Source organism: Homo sapiens, chromosome 4 (genome assembly GCF_000001405.40).
Source record: "Homo sapiens chromosome 4, GRCh38.p14 Primary Assembly".
In the NCBI taxonomy this organism is placed as follows: Eukaryota; Metazoa; Chordata; class Mammalia; order Primates; family Hominidae; genus Homo; species Homo sapiens.
Window position 1 is genome coordinate 126993323 of NC_000004.12, and position 17418 is coordinate 127010740.

The following is a 17418-nucleotide window of genomic DNA, read 5'->3' on the forward strand; positions in this document are numbered from 1 at the left end:
CCCTATTTTAAGTTCAATTGATTAGCGACCTTAATTTCATTTGCTACCTTAATTCACCTTGCCATGTCACCTAATATATTCAAAGGTTCCCAGAATTGAGATACAGGCATCTTTGGAGGCCAAAGTATACATACATTAAAATTCTATAGTCTAGTTTGATGTAAGAACACAATAGTAAAAATATTCAAACTCCCATTTTGTTTCTGCTCTGCAATAAACAAACTTTATGCTGGTTCATCAAAAAAACCATGTGGCCCCTCTGAGTCTCAGTTTCCTCATTTGGCAATGTTAATAGTCATTAATTCTGAAAACAATTAAACTGAATTCATTGGCGTTATTTGTATTATTCAATGATATATTTTAAATAAATCACCAGACTGACCAACAAGAAGAAACCCCATCTCTACAAAAAATACAAAATTAGCTGGGTGTGGTGACGCATGTCTGTAATCTCAGCTACTCAGGAGGCTGAGGCAGGAGAATCGCTTGAAGCCGGGAGGCGTAGGTTGCAGTGAGCCGAGTTCGCACCATTGCACTCCAGCCTGGGCAACAAGAGCAAAATTCTGTCTCAAAAAATAAAAAATAAATAAAATACATAAATAAAAAATAAAATAATAAACTTTTGTAGCTTTGTATTTTTCTAAACAGATGTGGAGGCTTTTAAACAAACATATTCAAATTCTATTTCAACTGCAGATTCAAAATTTGTACACATACATGTATATATAATTCAAAAGATTTTCAGACTATTTATTAACTAATGATTTTAAAAATACAATTTGAGTAAACAAGCCCTAATGTTAAATTTTGTTTTGTTGATCTCAACTATTAGTTTTACCAAGATCAAACAAAACAAAAAGTAATTACTTGAGATTAAATGACAGATTAAGTATGTTTTCATGACTTTTATTTAAAACATTGTTGGTTCTTTAATTAAATATTTTGTTTCCCAGATTAAAAATATTTTTCTCTCTTAACATGTCTGTAGTTTACAATAATTTGGTAAAGTATACTTTTGTAAACAAAGATAAAAACACTTTTTCTCCCTACTTAGTATCTCCAAAATTCAAAAATTATTCAAGTGTATTCCCATTTTTTATAACAATATGGTTATTTATATAAATTTATTAATAATCTGCTCTCTTTATAACAATATACAATTTAAAATATTGGTTATATTATCAAGGCTTCGACTAAAATATTATATTTAAATATGTACATAGAATGGCTGGGTTCAAAGTTTCCTTTTTAATTTAACAATGCAACATTATCACTGAAATTTTATAATCAGTAGCTTCTGCTGGTAACTTGACAAAACCTAACCTAAGAGATCCTTTAGTCTACCTAAGAATGAAAACATATTTAACACAATTGGATTGAAACCTTTAATTCAACTCAGTCATTGGATGCTAGATGATAAAATTACTGATTAGTTAAAATTTCTAATTAGTTAAATAAGAAAATGTCTGTACTATTGCTAATACTACATACTATATCTGGCTAAATTCCTCTGGGAAAAGTGAGACCCATATACACATTTTTTTTTTGTAAAGGCCATATGTTTATACTAAGTCTCACCTAATTCCCCAAGGTCATTTAAATTATTGGATTAGTTGCCTGCAAGCCTAGGGTCATGGCTCAAAACTATTATACAAACTGAGGTTATTATTTTACTTTATATTTTCCTTTAAAAACTTTATACCTGTTACTTCTTAAATTTGTACAAAAATACAATTCCCAACAAAATAATACTCCCTCAACACTTTAAAATTAAGGACAAAGCCTACGGAACAAACAGATTAAACTTAAAAATAAACTCCAAGTAGACTTAGCCTGAAAGTCACTTCCTTCCACCCTCCCTTGTTGTTCAAATGTGGCTAAAAGCGTTTTTGATAATGACTCTTAGTCACCAATCACTTCCCTCCAATGTGAGACCACACTAGACTAAACTTGGACAGGTATATCCTGACATAAAGGGACAACAGAAACTTCAGTAAGAGATAATTAATTGATCAGCAATGCTTTCAGAGAAGATCTTAATCAAAAGAGGGAAATGTGCAAATTGTCAGAATCAAAATGGAGTCACTTATGTTCAAAACTCTGACAAATAGAGCTAGGGGAGGCCTAAAGGAAGGGTTCTCATGCATGAATGCCTGATAACAAGAACTACTACTAAAGACTGCAAAAATATAACCCTGCACAAAGGCCATCAAAACCTTGCACACACACAAAAACACTTCTGTGAGGACATCTGTCCAGCAACTGCCTGAGCAAATTCAAGCTGGCATCATCCTTGTTATTGATCCTTGTAGCCAAGGATAACTATTTCAAAACAATTATGTAATTCTCTTCATGTTTTCTTTAAAATTTTTATCTTCTTTTTACTCCCTGAATATGCATATAGTTTATTATGACACATGTATTCCCTCTGCAATGTTTATTCCTAAATAAACATCATTTTCTTTTATGGAGTCTCCCTCTCTGTTTGTTATTTAGGTTGACAATACTGACACAATTACATTAATTTCAACATTTTGGAGGGGACATTGAAACCATAGTAGTGACTAACTCACATTCACCTTTATCATTATTATTATTATTTAAGAAATAGAAGGGGGAGGTGGAATTGAATATCTAGGTTTGGCTGATACTTAGCAAGCAGAATATTTATTTTACCCTGAAAATGCAAGGAGAAACAGAAACAGGATATCATAGATTTAATCAAGAATTTTAAGATGAGAAAAGTTTGGAAGTATGTCAGACTATAGTTCTGAATCACATTCTTTAGGCTTCAATATGATGTATCAATACCGTGTGATGCAAAGATACTAATTTAAAAGGCACCTATGTTTTCAAAAGGAAAACTTTTCCCAACTGAATCTAGTGAAAACTATTCCAGCTGGATATTTTTTTCTTTTCTTTCCAATTGCCAATCACTGTTAGACCAAAACAGATAAAAGTGACTTAAAATAATTAAAAACAGGCTTGATTTAGCAAACAGTACATATAGTAAAATTTCAGGCATATTCAAACCTAGCACTCTCATGAATACTTTACTAGGGAAAACTTTGTGCTATAGAAAAATGTTATTTTTCTATACGACAAGAAACACAGAATCCTTCTGTTAATGTCAATTCCTCCTTTCTTATTGTGAGAAACTGAGAAAATAAGATACAGGAGAATCTTAAAAAGCATTTTGAATGAAAAAAACATTAATTCAGTTGTTAAACTGAAAAGACTTAAAAGGCTGAAACTATTTTGAGGTGCTCATGAACAATTTCAGATTAAAGCAAGATATACACCTTCTTAATTTTATGCTATTGCTATCTTAAGAATAACAATACTGTTTCCTCTATTTTTAAAAAAATTAGTACACTTCAAATTAAAATATTTGAGTGTCTTCCAAAATACTTCAATTTATGAATTAAATAAAACTTAACCAAATAATTGGGAGGATAAAACTTTTTTTAATTTTTAGTTTTAATTCACAAGCAAAATTTTTATTTTTCCAAGCAAACTTAATATACAAGGTATTGTACTTTGGTAGGTATTTACATATCAATACATACCTAAGACAGAGCATGACATATAGCAAGCACTCCAAAAAATTTATCACTAATAAATAATATGTATAAGTGTGAACATAAGTTCATTAACTTGTTTTATAAACTTGAAATATGTTTATTCCCCTGCAGAAAATATTCAAATTAGCATCCAAAAATGTATTTTACTCCTCATTCACTACTTTGATGGAATTTGGAGTTGAAAACACTGCTTCTGTGAAATAGATTTGTGATTTGCTAAAACATATTGTTAAAAGCCCAGGTTTTGTTTCTTGGTGCCAGTAGGCGAAAGTGCCACTAGTAGTTTTCAACAGAACTTTATCTTGCACATCTGAATTAAATTATATTTCTCTTGGTTTCAGATGAATAAACACATTCCACAATAGCATTGTGCCAGTAGAATTATGCACCTGGAGTATGTTAATTTTCTTAATGACATCACGGTATTTTCCTAATAGGCTAATCATATTCAGATAAGATTATCAGGATTCCTACATTTAGAAACAGTACTTTATTCAAGCTAAATTATTAATTAATTTTTTTCCTAACTTATCCACTTAAGGTCCAATTTTGTATAACATTATTTTCTACTAGTCTTCTAATTAAAATTGTTCCTTATTTTTTGATACTATTTAATCATGAGGTTGGTATGCAGTGTACTCTACATACCTAAAATAACCTTTATAATTGCATGCTCCTATTTAAAATTTTGGAAGAAAGAGCTTATATGCATGTTCAAATCAAGCTAATAGTGCCACATATGTTTTCTGTTATGATATGGTTACAATTTTACATGTAGAATATGTGGAATACATATTTTTCAACTCTGTTTATCCACATTCCCTACAGTTTGTACCCCCGATGCAATCTTATACTTAGTACTACCTAAAGAGTTGAGCCAAAACAATCAATTATCTTATTTTTCTCACATCATAGCTACTGGATTTCACTGAACCCATAAATAAGTTAGAATTTGTTATATAAATCAGTAAACAAAGCATCTGTTCCTCAATGTTTTATTTATTTTCATCTAATACACTTTATATTACCATAAGTAAGAAATTAATAATTGTATTTCTTGTGATCATGGTTATTTGACATCTATATGCAAAAAGAGAAATTATAATTAAAATAGTTTGGGATCATAATTCAATACATTTATCCATTTCAATACCCAAGCTGTGCATATATGCAAATTAAATTCCATTCAAATATTTATAAAACAGTTTATAATTGCCTCTGGGTATAAATCAGTGAGCCAAGTTAAAGCTATATAAAGCTATATCAGGACAAAAGATGACAAAAGAGACACTCCACAGATATGTTATCCCTGAAAATTTCACAATTCTTAGAGAAGTTAATTTCATTTTCAGTTAAACAGATCCAATGACTTGTACCAAAATAACTAAAACATTCCAAATATCATTACAAATCTGAGGTTCTTGTATAGCTGTCAATTATTTTACAAATGAAGTTAGTTTCAAGGAGTGGAGTAACAATAATTACTCTAGCAGGAGTTGGCCATTGTAAGGAACCCAAAGGAACCAACATCAAAGGATATGGCAGGCTAAGGAGTCTATTCAGCATTCCATTAGGGCCTATAATAAACCCGCAAACTTCTTGACTGTTCTTCTAGCTTACTAATAATATCATACCTTGCTTTCATGTTATTATCTACTACGGCCTTTGTCATTGCATATTATTAGCTTTATAAGAAAGAGTGGCCTAGACAGAAGAACTTGGGAGGGAAATGAACATTTTCCCACATTTGCCAAAGAAATAGGATGAATGGCAGACACAGTTGAGATTGTTTTTAGCTCCAGGCAGACTTTTGCTGTAAAACCGTTGGTTTTTTGAAGTGCACATGATTTTAGTATTTCACTTTCCCCCTACACAGATGAGATTGCATCAGACCTACTTAATTCCTTTTTACCTGTTTAGTTAATAAGATTCTGCAAGTAGCTGATAACTTTTGAGAAAGATCCTGGTGGTATTTTGAAAAAAAAAAAAAAAGTCCACAACTCTCAAGTAGATGTTTCTGAAGACACTGAGTCTCGATGTAGTATACTAGGCAGTAGAGTTTTGCCAAGAAGCAATGGCTTTGGAACCGTGCAGACCTACAATCAAATGCTAGCTTAACCCCTTACAACAATTTCTAGTATTTTAGTATTTTTACTTTTTTTTTTTTTTTTTTTTTTTTTGAAAGAGAGTCTCACTCTGTCGCCCAGGCTGGAGTGCGCTGGCACAATTTCGGCTCACCACAACCTCCGCCTCCCAGGTTCAAGCGATTCTCCTGCCTCAGCCTCCCAAGTAGCTGGGACTACAGGCGCCAGCCACCATGCGTGGCTAATTTTTGTACTTTTAGTAGAGATGGGGTTTCACCATGTTGGCCAGGATGGTCTTGAATTCCTGACCTTGTGATCCACCCACCTCGGCCTCCCAAAGTGCTGGGATTACAGGCCTGAGCCACCACACCCGGCCTAAAAATTTCTAGTTTTAATCAGGCAATTTAGCCATAATGAACTTAATGTTCCTATCAGTAAAATGAGATTTGGGCAAGAGAGTGTATGAGAAGCTAAATGTTTCTTTTGGAGCATGGGCAACATTGTTCTCCAGGTTGTTAATGTACTACTTTCTGGAATTAAGCTGCCACCTGGATGCAGGAAACTAGCATAGAGACTAATCATAGGAGGTACTCTACTGATTTTACTTCCATTCCTGGGGAAGTCATTAAAATGAATGATTTAATTACATCATTATATCATTACCTACTAAGAGTATCAAAATACCAAATCAGTCGAGAGATGGCCATCTTTTCACAGCAGGCTATAATGAGTTTAATATATATTCATTTAGGGCCAGGTATGGTGGCTCACACCTACAGTCTCAGTGCTTTGGGAGGCTAAGTTGGGAAGAACACTTGAGGCCAGGAGTTCAAGACCAGCTGGGTCTTGAAAAAAACTCCTGGCTAACTAAAGAACGAGTTTTGTTTTTTAGTTAGCCAGGAGTGGTGGCACACACCTGTAATCCTATAGCTACTCAGGTGGCTGAGGCAGGAGGATCACTTGAGTCCAGGACTTTAAGTCTGTAGTGAGCTATGACTGTGTCACTATACTCTGGCTTGGGCAACACAGCAAGACTCTGTCACTAAAAAATGTTTTTTAGTTAAATCAAATATATTCATTCAAATGAAATAATTGACTTTGTAAACCACATTGGGAGATTTTCTTATGTCCTAATTTACTCAAGACAATTAAGTGGTCAGGTGTGGTTAAGAGAAAAAAAAAAATGAACTCTGCCTTTACCATTGCATTGGGAAATTACATAGTGATACACTGAGCCATCTCAAGACCAGGGATCGGCTAACTTTTTCTGCAAAGACCAGACAGTAACTATTTTAGGCTTTTCATGACATATGGTCTTTGTTGAAACAACTCAACTCTGCCCTCATAACACAAATAAGCAATAGGAATAGATAAACAAATGAATGTGGATGTGTTACAATAAAACTATATTTACAAAAATTGATGGTGAGCCAGATTTGGCTCAAAGGCTGTAGTTTTCCAGCTCCTGCTGATCTTTATACTGATCATCTCTTAATACTTCACCAATTATCACTTGCATGATTCCTATATTCCTGATATTTCTTACCTGTTAGCAAGATAACCAAGACTATATGTAGATGTTTAGAGAATATATTAAAAGAACAATTGCATATTTAAAATTATATATAAATTCTAATCATATTTTTCCTTAAAAAGTTTAATAGAAAAATATAGAAGAGTAGACTAAGAGCAGGAGATGGCAACATTTATAATCAATGGCGTGACTCCTCACTAATATACAGACCTAATATAAATGCATCTTCCAATCCCAAAGACCATAGATTAAGGCTCCATTCAATCAAAAAAACATTTCATATCATCAATACCACTGTTATTAACTGTAATGCCAGTTACAAGTCATGCCGATAACCAGTCAAGAACAGGAGAAATTGTCACTAGGTAACTATAGTAGCTGAAGACAACATGAGAAACCAAAACAAAATATTTTAAATTTATCCACACACTTGCAATAAGATTAAGCCCAAGAATTAAATATCACTCATCCTACAAACACAAAGGAATTTTTAGATGTTTGAACAAATGGAGAGATCAAAGATATTACAAAACATTTGGTAAGCGTCCTCCACAAAGCATGTTACAAACCACAGAACTTGAAAACAAAGCTAAAAGAAATAAAAGATTATTATGTGAAGATGGCTAAATAGTTTTCTCCATTTTACTTAGGTCTTTTTAAAAATCAACATGAATACAATCAATTCATATTATTTTTCAAATTGGTCAATTAGCTCTCTGTTATTAAATTATAAACTCAGAGGTATGAATGATGTATTATTCATCTTCATAAGTACATGAATAATATATGAATACTGGCCAAAATTAGTTGGCCTTAATTATTAATCAGTTACATTTACTAGCCCTAATGGAGTATAGAAATCACATAGTAGGCCAGGCATGGTGTCTTACTCCTACAATCTCAGCACTTTGGGGGCTGAGGCGGGAGGATTGCTTGAAGCCAGGAGTTTGAGACAAGCCTGGGAAACATAGTAAGACCTCATCTCTACAAAATATGTAAAAATAAGCTGGATATGGTGACATGTGCCTGTAGTCTCAGCTACTCGGGTGGCTGAGGCTGGAGGATCATTTGAGTCCAGGAGCTTGAGCCTGCAGTGAGCTATAATCATCACTGCACTCTAGCCTGGGTGACAAAACCAGACCCTGTCTCAAAAGAAGGAAGGAAGGAAGGAAGGAAGGAAGGAAGGAAGGAAGGAAGGAAGGAAGGAAGGAAGGAAGGAAAGAAGGGAGGGAGGGAGGGAGGGAGGTGGGGATGGGGGAGGGAATGAGGGAGGGGAGACAGAGAGAGAAAGAAAAAGAAAGGAAGGAAAGGAAAGGAAAGGAGAAAGGAAAGGAAAGGAAAGAAAAAGGAGAAGGAAAGAAAGGAAAGGAAAGAAGAGGAAAGGAGAGGAGAGGAAAGGAAAGAAAAGGATAGGACAGGAAAGGAAAGGACACAAAGTTGTTCATTGTTATCTCAAAACTCACTCATACAAATTAGCAGAATATTCCCAGAAAGTGTAATACTCTATCTTCTATCTCTAAGTGAGATGCTGCAAAGACCAGAGTTCTTATGAGAAGACTGGAGAATTCAGAGCTCCGCCCTTAGGCAATTCAAAGCAGACTCCTGTCCCTCTTAATTAAACGAATCCCTGAGCACTGCATGAGCAGGCTGCTTTCCAGAATAGAAGAGATGTCACACAGATGTTTCCAACAAAATTTCCACAAGGTTTACCTTGTTGAGAAAGAATGACTCCATTCAAAGCAAGAATTTTACCAAACCTATGAGAATGAACAAGAGCAGAAGAGTTGGAATTCCTCTCTTTTTGAAAGAACAACATACACAATGTACAACCAGACACATATTCAGAAAGTCCAGATGTCTTCACCATGTAGGGGAATAATTTTTATAACTCCACAGAAATAAGAAAAGGCACTAAGAGAATCATGAGAAGGTGTTGCAAATCTGAGAAGTGAGAATACACAGACCTCTCTTGCATTGCCAACTTGATTAGCTCTTCTCCTTTACAAAAAGATGCTTTAACCATTGACCTGCCAAAAGAAAGACCCAAAACTATGCCTGATTTCAGGTCAAAGGTGAAAGAAAGAAATGCCAAGAAGACAATGCTTACAAAAGAAACCTTCAAAACAAGGCAGTAATGATAAGTTTTATAGATCTGCAATACAGAAGAAGAAACCGGTATGGAATAGATCATGTCTGCTTTTGAATTTTAATGCAGACGATGGAAAAAGAGGGCATACATAAAAATTAGGGAAAATGTGATTTGAAACAGATGTCAGGCAGCCTTTCATCCCAAAGGGTCATAAATGAATGTATGGAATATCAGGCAGACAAAACTGTTCAAGTGAATATTAAACTTGTTTTAAAAAAACTTTGTATCATCCCTCATTAGAAGTTATTATAAAAAGCTATGAAGCTTTATTGAATAACTTCAACAAATTTCCTAAATTATGAATGCTAATTAATTTTTATTCCTATTTATAACAACACACACAAAAAAAAGTGCTAACTAGTAAGAAATGATGAGAATAAAGTCAAGAATTAACACGTAGATAGGATTTTAGGGTTCTGATTTAGAGTGCTCGATCACTCTACTACCTCAGCATCACAGCCTCACATGGTGAATGTGATTTCCAAGTTGCAAAAAAATGACATTATTTTGAAGACTAGAGTTCCAGTCTTTTATTTTAGAAAAAAAAAAGTAAGGAAGAAGAGTACTTCCATTGTTGCTATATTGTAAGTCTGACATTATAACTCCCTCAAGCAATCTTTATGATTTATTTAATGGATACTTAAAAATGAGTACTTTTCTTTTTAAAATATATCCTTAAAAGAAAATCATAGGTATTATTATTTCTAAACGTTTGCTTTGTGAGAATTATACTTTTCTTAATGGCCAATAGAAACTGTAGAGACACACTTAGCACTCAAGCAGAGCAACCGATTAACTTTTGATAGAATTGTTTCTGCCCCGTGCCTACACTCTCTTTATTTTATATCATTTTCTGCATTTGCTTAACTTCCTTCTTTTGCAAACATTTTTATTGTATTCTAATTGGCTCAATTTTATGTAACCTTCAAAATCATACAAAATTACCTTAAATCATTTAGAACTAAAGAAAGTATAATTAATTACTTGAATCCTTCCTGTAGAATTGCACCATGTAACATAAAAGCCCTGATCACCCTTTTAGTTTATCTCAGTTCAGTTAGTATTGTTCTTACACATGTCATCCAGAAAACATAATTTGTTGCGTAGCCAACACTGTCCTCTTATTTCCAATGATACTATACAAAGAGATTCAATGAAACCTCAAAATAAATCAAACATTGAATCTACAGAAGGAATACAGAAACAGAATTCTCTGAAAAAAATCCATATGATATAATGCCCCTGGTTCCTGAGGATTTAGAGAATATCTCTACCCCAGCAGCACCCAGCCCAAACTCTCAGCAATGAATCCTGCTTTCAATATCATGGTGCTAACCCCTAATCCTTGTCAGAGTCCTCATTTCATGACATAGTCTTGTTGAAATTGGCATAGGTATACCGTATACCATCTGTCATGGGATGAAGAGAAAAAAAAAAGCCTCTGGCTTCTTCCCCATAGTACTACCATTGTTTCTTCCTCCATTTTTATTCTTCCAGTTCTAGAAGCTCTTTTCTAAACCTCACAATAAAAAAACTTAGCCCTAACGGTCCTGGTGGTACCCAGTGACTTATCTGCTGAAACACTACTTGCTTTTTGCTTGCAAGTATTTAGGAATGGAGGGAAATAAAGGCACAGTGGAATTTCATGACTTCTAACGCTGTCATACATAATATCTTGATAAAATTCATATTTTTTATCTTACTGAATAAGCTTTTTTTAGCATAGCCCAGGCATTACTGTTTCTCATCATTGACCTTATCTCAGCAAATAAGAACTACAAATATAGTTTCACAGAAGGAGCATATTTACCTGCTGTGTATCTCTCCAGTAAACAAAGTTTTCAACAATTTCCAGTTAATTAACACATGTCAAATTTCTCACTTGAGAAAATGTCATTTTCTAATGATACAAACTTGTTTTTTATAAACTTCTTGCTAAAAATAATCTAGTAAGCTAGTAACTCATTGGAACTCAGTCATTTTTAGGCTATGTCTAAAATGACTGTGTCATTTTAGACAATGACTATGTCTAAAATAAAAGAGTTATGTCTTTCTTAACCTAATAGATACAAACTCAACATTATTTAGTACTTCATAGTTCATAATGTACTTTAAAAAGATTATCTGATATGATCCTCAAAAAAACTATTTTATTATCCCAAGTTACAGTTAGGAAATATGAAGTTCAGAGAGACTAGGTGACTTTCCTTGGGTCATTAATGACACTGTCAGATCTCTGGTTCCTAGTTTAATATTCTTCTCTCTACCTCATGCTGGGGGTTAATGTTAATTTCATTAAGTCAATATAATATCAACAAGGTGACTCTGACAATATGACTCTGACAATTTCTCTACAGGCTGTTTTCTTCATCTAAACATTATCTTCTTCCTGATATCTCTGTGACAATAAATTATAGAAGAACTTTAAAGTCATAGTTAGGCTGTTCATCAAAACTTGCAAGAGGGGTGTGGGAGTCACAAGGCAGGTTCTCAGAATCATGTGTTTTGGCCTTCTGAGTGTCAGAAAGAAATGCGGAGATTCTTATGAAGAAAGAAGAATTTACAGATGCTTTTATGGTTTGCATCTAGATTAGCTCAAGCTATGTCTGTGCTGGAAAAATAAAATTACCATATTATTTTTAATGTAAAATATAATTAAATACTTTCAAAATATTGATAAGAAACTAAAAAGAAAAGTAAATGGCCAATATTGTAAATGTAACAAACAGAGACCCAGTTGTAAGGTGGATCAGATGTAAGTTATGGAGTTTGCCAGAGCTCTGAAAGACTGTATTCTCCTCAGGAGCATCAACAATTTATTTTTAAGAGCAGTTATTCACAAGAGGGTCAGGCATCATTTAAACTAAATGTAAAGCTCTGGAAGGGACTTCTCTGGCACATGCTATATTCATCCTCAGAAATGATGGTTTAAACAAATCTGCAAAACTCTGTTTCAAAATATATTACTTCAAATTAACATACTCTTTCATAGAAGACACAAATGTCTGTGCTTACCCACCATTACTTTGAAATAAGTGAAGATTTTGGTGTTATTTCAACTTTCTATGTATATTGAACTGTAATCAGTATCACCTTACTCTTGAGAAAAATGAAGAAATTGGTCATTAAGAAATTAAAATCATTGTTTAAAATTCTTAGTCAACAATAAGATGAAAATTAGAAGAACATCACTAGCCCATGCCATTACAAAATTCAACAAAGCTGTTTCTTAAATGTGTACATTTAAAAGAAGAAAAGGAGGGAAGGAGAGAGGGGAGAAGAAGAGGAGGAGAAGGGGAAAGGAAAAGATAGGAAGAGAGGAAGGAAAGAAGGCAGGGAGGAAGGCATCTGAGACTACAACTTGATGAGCTACATTTCTTCTAAATATTTACTAGACAATTATTCAAAGAATAAAGCATTTAGGAAAAATAATGACAGCTCTTCAACCACAAAACAATAGTATATGTCTCCAGACTGCTTATTAGTAATTCAGATATTATCACCAAATTTGCCTAAGGATTTCAAGTGCGAAACTCACAAAATGTCATTTTAATTCATTCTAAGAGTGTCATCTTGGCAATCAGTGGAGAAAATTATAGTATTAAGTGGTCTGGCTATATATAAAACAAAGGCATAAACATAAATCCCTTCTTCAAATACTTGACTGATGTAATGATTTTAATGACTTGCATATTGTAGTTCTTCATTCTTAGGAATGGATTATAGTTCTGGAAACTGACTTGACTGATTAAGTTTCATCCAGTCTCACTCTGGATTTTGCTGCTGAATATGATCATTTCTACCACATGAACAGCAGGAGCCAAGCATCTGCCTCTTTATTGTAGCTTCCATGGTATTATTGTTGAATGTGTAAGCCAGTGGGGCCTTGCTGAATGAAATCTGCAATTCAAATCATAAAATTTTTCATACACAAGAGAACACTTTGGAGGCAACCCAAAGTGAAACACAACATCTACTGCAATGAGCTATCTGCTGCAGACCCATAAGGCACAATTGAAGTAAGCTTTAAGAGCAGTGCTTCTCAAAGTGAAGTCCAACTGCCTTGTGAAACAACTGCCTTGGAATTAACTGCAGTGATGAATAAAAGATGAAGATTCCTGGGCACCTCTTGAGAGTTACACAATCATAATTTCTAGAGGCAAGTACCAAGCATCTGCACAAGCTCACATGGTGATTTTTATATACCCTAAAATTTTAAAAGCCACCGTTTCAATTTTTTTCTCACTGTATTGAAGTCTTCAGTATACATAACTCTCAGATGCCGATGTATTAGGTTGGTTGAAAGTAATGGCAAAACTGCAATTACTTTTGCACCAATCTAATAGTTCCCCTGAAGAAGAATTACAGAATCTTTTTTGAAGTAGAACAGTTTCTTATTATAGGCTGTCATGGAACCCAAATGGGTAGAGTAAGGGAATGGATAGAGGCTGGAGAAATGCCCTGCCAGGCATAGAACTTGAAAAAAAAATTAAATTCTTGTTGTATCAAGAAATAAACATCATGGGGTAGGGTTTTTTGAAAATATGTTGCAACATAAAATATGAATTTAGTTTAAGAATTATTATTGACATTTCTTCCCAAACAAGATAATAGTGCTGATGACACAGTATTGACACATTTACATATATAGCACATGGGCAGACACATATGGTAGAAAAAGTTTCTTTCTTTGCCACATCCACATGCCACATATGCTGGAACTTATTAACATTCTGTTGAAGTGGTCAGACTGTTCTTAGTGTGGTTGTTTTTTCTTGGGGAAATCTATTTCCCTCTCAATGAGGAAGCATTCAGTTACCAAACTATTCCTGGTTTTAAGTAATTTGCAAACTTTGTCTTGTAAACACTTACAGATATACCACAGAAGTCCCTAGAGTTACCTTGGAAGTAGCCCAAATTTATCTCAAACATATCGTGCTCATGCAAAATAAATATTGAAACCATTATTTCAGAGAAACTATTTTTCTAAGCCAGTTTCTTTTCAAATTGAACGTCAAGGGCATCGCCTTGGAAGTTGGAAATGCAAAGCCGTGTTTGGTGAGATCGCCTGCGCTGAATGGGAATTATAGGCACAATTGCCTTCCCTCCTTCCCACGATGTAGGACTTGCTGTTCACATTTACCTGCTCTTTATAAAAGAAGAATAATGACTGGAAATATACAGCAGAGCTCTAATTTAGGCTTGCTCTCAAAACTTTCACCTCCCTTTAATATTTCCTTTACAGCTGGTATTGGCAAACTATGGTCCATGGGCCAATGTATCCTGCAGGTAGCTTTTGTAAACAAATTTTATTGGAACACAACCACACCCACTTACTTACATATCGTCTATGGCTGCTTTCCCACAGCAAAATTTGAGTAGCGGCAAAGAGATGCTGGGGCCTGCAAAACTAAAAAAATATTTACTATCTGATCCTTTGCAGATAAGGTTTGCCTACCACGGATCCAGATAATATTTACAGTTGCCTCAGTAGTAATCCCTGTCAAACAGAGGTAGGTAGAGGCAGAGGTGGTGCATGCCTAGCATGATGAAGGAAGAAATTTTATATAAATATTATTGCAAGAAAAAAGGGACAGCTTGATCATAAAAAGTGAAAAATGTCTATTCTTACATAAAATAACTTCTTTCAAAAGTGAGACTTTCACTAAGTTGCTATTTTGAAAAGGAGGTCAGTAATAAACAAGTTATTGCTGTATGTTTGATTTTTATAAATATATAGTAATCCACATAATTTCCCCAGATAAATATTAACACAATTATTTTGTTTTCCTCTCCTACATTATCTCATTCATTCACTCACTCAACACTTATTTAATAAGTACCCATGCTAGACACTTGGTACACAAAAATAAACAAATGGACATTGATCTATTTTCAGGAAAAGTTTGCCAAATGCAAATTTTGAACTCATATTTGAATTTATAGATAAAGAAAAAATATCAGACTATAAGAGTTTCTCTCCCCAGATAAAGTATACTATATGATGATATACAATCAGGCAATGCAAACTAATGCAAAACACAGATATAATATAGATTATTGTCAATGAATTTCCTATAGAATGACATTTTTTAAAGTAGTTTAAACTGTAGTGTTATTATTTTTGTTAAAAAAAAATTGCAATCCTACTCACAGAGCTAAATGAAGAGGAGATTCAGACGAGTAAACTTCTAACAACAACAGGGTTCTAGGATAAAGGAAACATAGCATGTTAGGGAAGCAACATGATATGACGATGGAGTGGAGATGGAGACTGTCTCCTGGAAAGCCTACCATGGAAGGTGATATCTACTATGGTCAGACCTGACGATCATGGTAGGAAATTTTATAAAGGGGAAATAAAGAGAGAATGGAAAGAGGAGACAATGCCAGGTCATGCATGGCCGTGTTGGCCATGTAAAAAGTTTCATTACTCTTTGTGTTTTTTTAATTGAGATAAACAGGGAGAAATTATATGTTTTAAATAAAAAATGAGAAAATAATGCTTTTCTGTATAAAGACTACTCTGGCTGCACAGAAGAAAAGTAGACTGGAGGTACTGAGACTACTTAGGAAGCTGGTATAGAAATTCAGGGAGGAGATGATGGAGGCTGATCTACGGTAATGTTAGTGGAAATGAAATGAAATGAAACGAAATGAATGTGGTGGCATTTGCTCTGACTGGGACCATGGAGTGGTAACGGGTTAGGGAGAAAAAAGTGATGAGTTCAGTGTAGAACATACTGACTGTCTAGTACCTGAGGATCATCCAGGTGACATGTAGAACATGCAGCTGGATAGGCCCACCTGAGGCCAGGAGACTGGAGATAAAGATGACTTTTCAGTCTGCTGATAGTGGTTGCTAGAATTGGAGTGGATGAGATTCCCCAGGTTGCATATTTAGAGTCAGAGAGGAAGGGCCTAAAATGGAATCCACTAGGTAGAGCATGAGAATTTTGCGAAACAACAACAAAAGTTTAAGAAGATGTGGCTTAAGTAGATTGGATACAGTGTGTTGAGTGTTTGATCATGAGAGAGCAAAGAGAAGGTTTCATAAACAAAAGAATGGTCAATTATATCGTACTAAGAAAAAATACATATAACCTAAAATGTGTTCCATAGATTTATTGTCATTGCCAATTGTGGTGATGGCAGCTGGGGTGGGGGCAGAAGCCATACTGCAGAAGGTTGAGAAATTAGTGAAGAAACAAAGTGAAGTAGCAGATTTAGGCAATGCTTTTCATATGTTTAACTATGAAGGAGAAGAGAGAGAGCGGGTGGTAGCTGGAAGGAAACACCAGCTAGGAAAACACAAGGCTAGGAAAACACATAAACAGGGCTTCTAGAAAGCTACCAATGTTCTATTTTTTAACCTGGTATATAGCTACATGGTTGTTTGTATTTCAACTAATAAAATGAAGCTTTTCAAATAAAAAGCTAAACTTTATGTTTTGTGCACTTTTTGTTTGTTGGTTGGTGTATAGTATTTTCCAATTAAAAAATATGTACGAAGGTATCACTTTAAGGCCACAAAAGAAATGTAAAAGAATAAGTCTAACAAAAAATATGTGTGAAGAAAATTATAAATCTTCTTTGAAAGATATTTTTGAAAATCTTCTCTATTTGGAAAGGTATATGATGCTTTCATATAGGAACACCAAGAATCACTTAAATGCACATTCTGTTAAATCAACCTATACATTAAATGCGATTCCAGCAAAATCTGAATAGAGCTTTTCTATGAATATAAAAAGGTAATTCTAAAATCCACATGGCATTCCTAAGGCTTAAAAACAGCAGAAATATGCCTAAAATATAAAAAGGTCAGATGTCATGCCTTGTCAAATATTAAGACATTATATCATAAATAGAATAGATAAGAGGTGTAAGTATATAGAAATAATATGAGTGGATAGACATAGAAATAATAGAGATAAAGCCAAGCATATATAAATGAGTCTTAACAAAGCTGACATTGCAGATTGGTAAGGAAAGGATTAACTATTCAATAAAAATGTTGGGAGAGTTATTATTCATATGAAAAAAGAAGATATGAACTTTACCTCA

General features: G+C 34.0%; 1 annotated feature.

Annotated features, from left to right (window-relative positions):
* Positions 1758-1958: a silencer, noted in NCBI's record as "peak5104 fragment used in MPRA reporter construct". NCBI's record gives its function as "represses an SCP1 promoter by STARR-seq MPRAs in K562 erythroleukemia cells {active_cell/tissue: K562}" and the evidence as "EXISTENCE:reporter gene assay evidence [ECO:0000049][PMID:32103011]".